Genomic DNA, 8,307 nt, shown 5'->3' with positions numbered 1-8,307 from the left:
CTGCAGATACAAATGCAGGAAAAGTAAGAGTTGGCATGAAGAAAGTATGATCTTGTAATACAAATTTAAGATTTTCTTTAAAGGGCCGGGCGCGATGGCTCATGCCTGTAATCCCAGCACTTTGGGAGGCCGAGGTGGCTGGATCACAAGGTCAGGAGATTGAGACCATCCTGGCTAACACGGTGAAACCCCGTCTCTACTAAAAATACAAAAATTAGCCAGGCATGGTGGCGGGCGCCTGTAGTCCCAGCTACTCAGGAGGCTGAGACAGGAGAATGGCGTGAACCTGGGAGGTGGACATTGCAGTGAGCTGAGTTTGTGCCACTGTACTCCAGCCTGGGTGAAAGAGCAAGATTCCATCTCAAAAAAAAAAAAAAAAGATTTTCTTTAAAATAAATATTTGCTATCAATGAATGTTTTCATCACAGATCTTTTTTTCTAAATCCATATGGAGAAAAATAGTATTTTCCAGGAATCTGCTATATGAGATCTGGATAATTTTTACTATACAAAACTTTCATTGTCACTAACAGTTATTTTATTCCAGAAACTGTTTGTGAGCATCTATTGTATACAGGAATATCATTCATTGTATCCATCCATAGAGTAACGCAGCATTGTGGCTACTCGGCTTCCGCACTTGAGAAATAGTCATAGATATTTAACTGCAATTCAATATATTATAAAATTACAATCTTTATAACAATATATAATTACAGGAAACTGTGGTTAACTAGGAGTGACTACTCTGTTTAGGAGGACTTCCCAGAAGAGGCACCATGTGAGGTAAGTCTTGAAGGGTGAGTAAGAGTTCAGTAAACCAAGGCCACTGTGTTATAAAACTCCAAGAAGCACCATTCACGTTGTATGTAATGGTGCCCCCTGAACTTGCATGCCAGTGGAAGAAACTCTTTGTATATCAGTTATGATGCTTTCACCCCATCAAGCTACCAATGACTTTCTTCACAGAATTGGAAAAAACTACTTTAAAGTTCATATGGAACCAAAAAAGAGCCTGCATCACCAAGTCAATCCTAAGCCAAAAGAACAAAGCTGGAGGCATCATGCTACCTGACTTCAAACTATACTACAAGGCTACAGTAACCAAAACAGCATGGTACTGGTACCAAAACAGAGATGTCGATCAATGGAACAGAACAGAGCCCTCAGAAATAATGCTGCGTATCTACAACTATCTGATCTTTGACAAACCTGAGAAAAACAAGAAATGGGGAAAGGATTCCCTATTTAATAAATGGTGCTGGGAAAACTGGCTAGCCATATGTAGAAAGCTGAAACTGGATCCCTTCCTTACACCTTATACAAAAATTAATTCAAGATGGATTAAAGACTTAAACATTAGACCTAAAACCATAAAAACCCTAGAAGAAAACCTAGGCATTACCATTCAGGACATAGGCATGGGCAAGGACTTCATGTCTAAAACACCAAAAGCAATGGCAACTAAAGCCAAAATTGACATCTAATTAAACTAAAGAGCTCCTGCACAGCAAAAGAAACTACCATCAGAGTGAACAGGCAACCTACAAAATGGGAGAAAATTTTCGCAACCTACTCATCTGACAAAGGGCTAATATCCAGAATCTACAATGAACTCAAACAAATTTACAAGAAAAAACCAAACAACACCATCAAAAAGTGGGCAAAGGACATGAACAGACACTTCTCAAAAGAAGACATTTATGCAGCCAAAAAACACATGAAAAAATGCTCACCATCACTGGCCATCAGAGAAACGCAAATCAAAACCACAATGAGATACCATCTCACACCTGTTAGAATGGCAATCATTAAAAAGTCAGGAAACAACAGGTGCTGGAGAGGATGTGGAGAAATAGGAACACTTTTACACTGTTGGTGGGACTGTAAACTAGTTCAACCATTGTGGAAGTCAGTGTGGTGATTCCTCAGGGATCTAGAACTAGAAATACCATTTGACCCAGCCATCCCATTACTGGGTATATACCCAAAGGACTATAAATCATGCTGCTATAAAGACACATGCACACGTATGTTTATTGCGGCACTATTCACAATAGCAAAGACTTGGAACCAACCCAAATGTCCAACAATGATAGACTGGATTAACAAAATGTGGCACATATACACCATGGAATACTATGCAGCCATAAAAAATGATGAGTTCATGTCCTTTGTAGGGACATGGATGAAATTGGAAATCATCATTCTCAGTAAACTATCGCAAGAACAAAAAACCAAACACCGCATATTCTCACTCATAGGTAGGAACTGAACAATGAGAACACATGGACACAGGAAGGGGAACATCACACTCTGGGGACTGTTGTGGGGTGGGGGGAGGGGGGAGGGATAGCTTTAGGAGATATACCTAATGCTAAATGATGAGTTAATGGGTGCAGCACACCAGCATGGCACATGTATACATATGTAACTAACCTGCACATTGTGCACATGTACCCTAAAACTTAAAGTATAATAATAATAAAATTGAAAAAAAAAAGGATGCTTTCAGATGCAAGAAAACAGGATACTACAGAAAGTGGCTGAAATAATGATGGGTTTTTTTTCTTTTTTTTTTTTTTCTTTTTTCAGATGGAGTCTTGCTCTGTCGCCCAGGCTGGAGTGCAGTGGCTCACTGCAACCTCCGCCTCCCAGGTTCAAGCGATTCTCCTGCCTTGGCCTCCCGAGTAGTTGGGACTACAGGTGCCCACCACCACGACCGGCTAATCTTTTGTATTTTTAGTAGAGACAGGGTTTCGCCATGTTAGCCTGGATGGTCTCAGTCTCCTGACCTTGTGATCCTCCCACCTCGGCCTCCCAAAGTGCTGGGATTACAGGCGTGAGCCACTGTGTCTGGTCCGGTTTCATTTTCTTAAAATCTAGAAAAAAGTGGTTCTAGGGTAGTTCAGGCATGTGGCTATGTCTACGCGGCTTTTTCCATCATTTCACTTCTGTCCTCAACATGCAGCTTCTATCCTTGGGCTTATCACTCTGTGGTCAAAAGGCGATTTCTGAAGTCTCAGGTTTACCACATGCAATTACAAGAAGAGAGTCAGGCAGTTGAGAAGACTCTCCTTGAATGTCTTTTTTAAGCTTTTTTTTTTAAGGGAGAAAAAGTCCTCCATGGCAGTCACCCAGAAAATCTACCTGTATGTCTCATTGGCCAGCAGTTATCATATGACCATCACTAGTTGCAAGAGAGAATGGAAAAGCAAGTAAATAATATCTTTAATCTCAATTGTGTGACTCAGTGTCTACTAGAAGGAAAAAGATGGCTGGTGGAGCTCTGGGGTAGGCAACTCACAGTGACTCCAGACTATTTAAAGGTTAAAAAGGGATTATGACTTTTGGTCTCCAGAACCAAACATTCTGACAAACACTAAGGTTATTTTGTCTGTTTCTTCTAAAACTGCACTTGAGTGTTAATAATTTCTAGTAGATAATTATTTTTCCTTTTACTTTCTCAAGAGTAGTATGCTTCAGCTAAACATCCTGTTTTATTCTATCAAGACACCTCTGAGATCAGTATAATTATACTTAATTTTTATTTGCAGAGGTGGGCCAAGAAGGAGTTAAAGTTAAGCAACACAGCTAGCAAATAATTAAATAATGAAACCTAGATGGCTGGGAGGGGAGGAGGGGGTAAGGGCTGAGAAATTACTTAATGTGTATAATGTACATTATCCAGGTGATGGTTACAGTAAAAGCCCAGACTTTATCACTATGCAGTATATGCATGTAACAAAACCGTACTTGTACTCCTTAAAATTACGCAGTTTTTTTTTTTAAAGAAAGCCTGGAATTGGTTCATGGTACTCTGACTATTAGATCAAGTTTTTTTCCTATGATGTCTCAAATATTTATATTTTCATAGTATGATATTATTCTATGATGTGATAATATAATGTGATACCATGATAGAATTCCATACACTAGAATGCAGTTTGATAATATAACATAGAGTTAAATTCTGCCATGTTTCAAACTGACTAGTGCAGCCCAAGGCCGACTAATCAACTTTGTGGGCATTTTTCATTATAGGCTCAAAGGTGGCTCCGTTCAATAGGGCAGTCTTTGTTCCAGGAGCCCACTGTGCCTCTTCCCAGCACGGTGCAGTGCCTGAGAGAAATAAAAGAGTTGGCTCTCACACTAAGAGGTCGAGGAGTTCAGGAAATGACCTGGGTATGAGAGCAACGGAGCATAGGAAAAGTTGATCTTGAAAAGCAAGAACTATACTTTCCTTGGACTCCTTTCTCTTTTTCTTTCCTCTGGTCTGCATCTGTCCACATGAAATAACAAAATCACGAGCAAGTCAAAAGAACATATTGTGCCAAGAGATAAGATGAGCCTTTGGAAACCCATAAGAAGCTCAGATATACTTCAGCCCTGGGGAAAGAGACTGCACGGACCATTTGAAAACTGAGATGGACTCTGTGCTCAAGATCAATAGATTTAATATTCGATAGAGTGGCCGCTGTCGCCATGGTGAGCGGGCTCTGGATGTAATTACAAGGTTCAGCTGGATGGATTGCTGGGAGAAATGCTTTATGAACAAAACAGGGTTGGTACCCTTACACAGTTCATCTCCAGCATATTTCTGACGGTCAGAGACAATTCAGAAGACGGTGCATTTGAAGACATAGTAGAAATGAGAATAACTGGGTCACTTCATTCTGGGGCTTTCAAAGACTGCTCTTCTAAATCAGGCTAGATTCTAAACAGCTCCCAGTGTCTATAGCTATAATTCAGGATTGTGGCTAAATGTTTACCTGACCTCATTTCCCAACTTGAAGAATTAGCTATTAGACAAGTGAATATAAAATTTCTCCAAAGCAAGCACACTTTGGTCAGCGCAGAACCCAATCAAGTAGAACTCTATAGCACGCATCTAAAGAATGGGAGAGGTCGAGAATAGAGTTTGCCTAAGATGCTATCGTGTATCCTTGAAAACAGTGAGCTGAACAAGGGGTGGAATGTCAGGTTTCCACGTTATAGGTGGTTCAGTACATTTTGATCATGCTAATTATCCATTTGTGTAGTTGCTCAATAAATGATGTTTCAGGATACACAGTTGAGCTTTCTGACTGTGCCATATGCACTCTGAATATTCAGAGATTATTCAAAGGCTACACATTGGTGACAAACCCCAGAAATAAAGCAAATGGTGGAGGTGGCTTTTTTTTTTACTTTTAAGTTCAGGGGTACAAGTGCGGGTTTGTTACATACGTAAACGTGTGTCATGTGGATTTGTTACACAGATTATTTCATCACCCAGGTATTAAGCCTAGTACCCATTAGTGTTGTTTTCCTGATCTTCTCTCTCCTCCCACTCTCCACGCTCTGAAAGGCCTCAGTGTGTATTGTTCCCTCATATGTGTCCATGTAGCTTTTTTAAACATAACTTTTTATTTTTGAAATAATGGTAACTTCTCATTCCACTGTTAAAAAATAATACAGAGATCCATGTACCCTTTACCTATTTCTCCCAATGGTAATATCTCACATAACTATAGCACAATGTCACAACCAGGATATTGATAGTGATATGATCCTTCAGCCTCATTCAGATTCCCCCAATTGTTTCAGGTGTGAGTGTTTGTGTGTGTGTATGTGTGTGTGTAATTTTAGTTATATATAGGTTAATGTAGCTACCACCACAATCAAGATGCAAAACAGTTCCATCACCTCAAGGGTCTGTCATGTTGCCTTTGATGTGGCATTTTAATAACCCTTAAAGGAAAGGTGAGAAATATTTCATTATTTCAGTGAAGTGGGAAAAGCAAACTAACAAAAATTATGCAATTTTAAACACTCATTTTCAAGTTTCTTTCATTTTCCATGTCCATATTCTCTCCTGGATTGGACTGCTACAAAATACAATTAATCTGACTTCACAGAGTTCCAATATTTTTGCAGGGTCATTTTAAGATATATAGTTGGTTGTTACTCAGTTACTTCCATTATAACACACATGACCCATCAATTACATGCCTGGGTATTTATTTTAGAGAAACAAAAAGTTACATTTGCCCACAAACCTGTGCACAAATATTCACAGCAGCTTTTTATGTAGTTGCCAAAAGTTAGAAGTAACTCACATGTACATCCTTGAGAGCATGAATGTGTAAACAAACTGGAACATCCACACAATGGGGTACTACTCAGCAACAGAAAGGAATAAAAATGGACACAAACATCAACTTGGATGGATCTCAAAGGCAAGGTGGTAAGTGAAAAGAGCAAATCAAAATATATCCTGTATGATCCCACTTATAAAACATTCTCAAAATGACACAATTAGAATGATGAGAGATTAGTGGTCATTCAAGGTCAGGATTGGGAAGAAAGTGTGAATATAAAAGAAGTTTTATGGAGTTTCTTTGTGGTGATGGAACAGTTGCTGTCTTAGGGCTGCTTTAACAAAAACACAAAAGATTGGGTGGCTTAAACCACAAACATTTACTTCTCACATTTCTGGAAGCTGGGAAGTTCGAGATCTAGGAGCTAGCAGGTCCACTGTTGGGTGAGGTCCTGCCTCCTGTTTGTATCCTCACACGGCAGGCATAGAGACAGACAGAGAGAGGAAGCAAACCCTTTTCTGTCTCTTCTTATAAGGGCACTAATCCCATCATGAGGGCTCCACCCTCATAATCTAATCACATCCCAAAGGCCTCATCTCCAAACACCATCACACTGGAGATTAGGGCTTCAACAGATGCATTTGGTGGGTTTGGGAGGACACAAACATTCAGTCCATAGCAGTTATGCGTCCTGACTATGGTGGAAGTTACATGAATCTACACGTGTGATAAAGTTTTACAGAACTATATAACCCCCTCCCAAACATGTTTGCACATAAAAAACAGGTGAAATTGGAATTAGGTGTATAGTTTAGTTCATAGCACTATATTATACTGTGCCAGTTTTCAGGTTTTGATAATGCATTATGTTTACATAAGATGCTAACATCAGGGGAAGCTGAGAATAGGATACAAAGAAATTATCTGTTCTACTTTCGTAACTTTTTGGTAGTCTAAAATTATTTCAAAATAAAAAATGAAAACAAAACAAAAAGTTCCCCCCAATTTGCAGAGAAGTTAGCTAAGATTCAAACAGGTTAAATAATTTACACTTATTTTTAAAAACCCTCAAGCCAGTAAAAGGCCAAACTGAGATTTGAGCTCCAGGACTTCTGAGTCCAAATTCAGGGCTCTTTATACCACAGTGCTCCTATTAGCCATGCGTTTAGCTTGAGCAGATAAACATTCAAGTGACAGTTGAAGGTCATTTAAGTAGATAGAAGAACATGTTCAAGGTCAGGAGGTAAACAAAAGCAAGGAAAGAAAGTACAAACCATCAAAGCCTGATGGGCAGAGGAAAGCACGGGACTGAGAGAACTGGAGCCATGGAGGGTACAAGAACAGGGACAGAGGGAACGAGAGGGTGTAGGTTGTGAACAGGATATCCTGATTTGAAGATGGAGTGACTCTTGATGATGATAGACCCTCGAAATAGCCCCCGAGAGGAGACAACTGGCCGGATCCTACTGAAAGTAAAGGTCTGAGTATGAGATGGTCAAGGAATTGCGAGGCCTGAGAGTCAAGTGAGTGGTCCATTGGGACATTCAGGTGAGCCAGAATGATGCAAGAATGTGATGGACAGGAAGATGAAGCTCTATCCCTCCTCGCAGTGTAAGCATCCTGGGGGTAGGTACTGTGCTTTATCTTTGCTCATCACAGAGCCTACAACAATGCCATGGACTTAGAGCGCCAATGATGTTTGCTGAACTAACGAATGAATATTCTCATGCCCTAAGAAACTGAAACAGTTATTGACTCTTATTTAGCCCCTATTTTCCCATGAGGGAGTAGCTTTGGTTGATCAGCATGAACCAAAATGACCATTAAATTCCATCTAAAAATATGTTAATATCATTTTTCATAACAAAGATAAAACATCTTACTAAATTTTGTTTAAACAGTTATCTTAAGTGTCATATATTATAAAGTAAATATTAACCCATAGAGTTCTGATTATCACTAACATCTTTTTTTGTTTGTTTGTTTTTGAGACTGAGTCTTGCTCTGTCACCTGGGCTGAAGTCCAAGGGCACGATCTCAGCTCACTGCAACCTCTGCCTCCTGGATTCAAGCAATTCTCCTTCCTCAGCCTCCCGAGTAGCTGGGACTACAGGCGCCCACCACCACGTCCAGCTAACTTTTGTATTTTTAGTAGAGATGGAGTTTCACTATATTGGCCAGGCTGGTCTCGAACTCCTGACCTTGTGATCTGCCCACCCCTGCC

At 39.9% G+C, this 8,307-nt stretch overlaps 1 protein-coding gene across 11 annotated transcripts in view; it reads right to left on the bottom strand.

The window, feature by feature from the left end:
• RFC3 (replication factor C subunit 3) overlaps positions 1-8,307 on the bottom strand; it is a 159,229-nt gene that overhangs the window by 88,251 nt on the left and 62,671 nt on the right. The window lies entirely within an intron of this gene.

Source organism: Homo sapiens, chromosome 13 (genome assembly GCF_000001405.40).
Source record: "Homo sapiens chromosome 13, GRCh38.p14 Primary Assembly".
Lineage (NCBI taxonomy): Eukaryota > Metazoa > Chordata > Mammalia > Primates > Hominidae > Homo > Homo sapiens.
The sequence above is the reverse complement of the archived record's forward strand: the minus strand, read 5'-3'. Positions and strand labels throughout refer to the sequence as shown.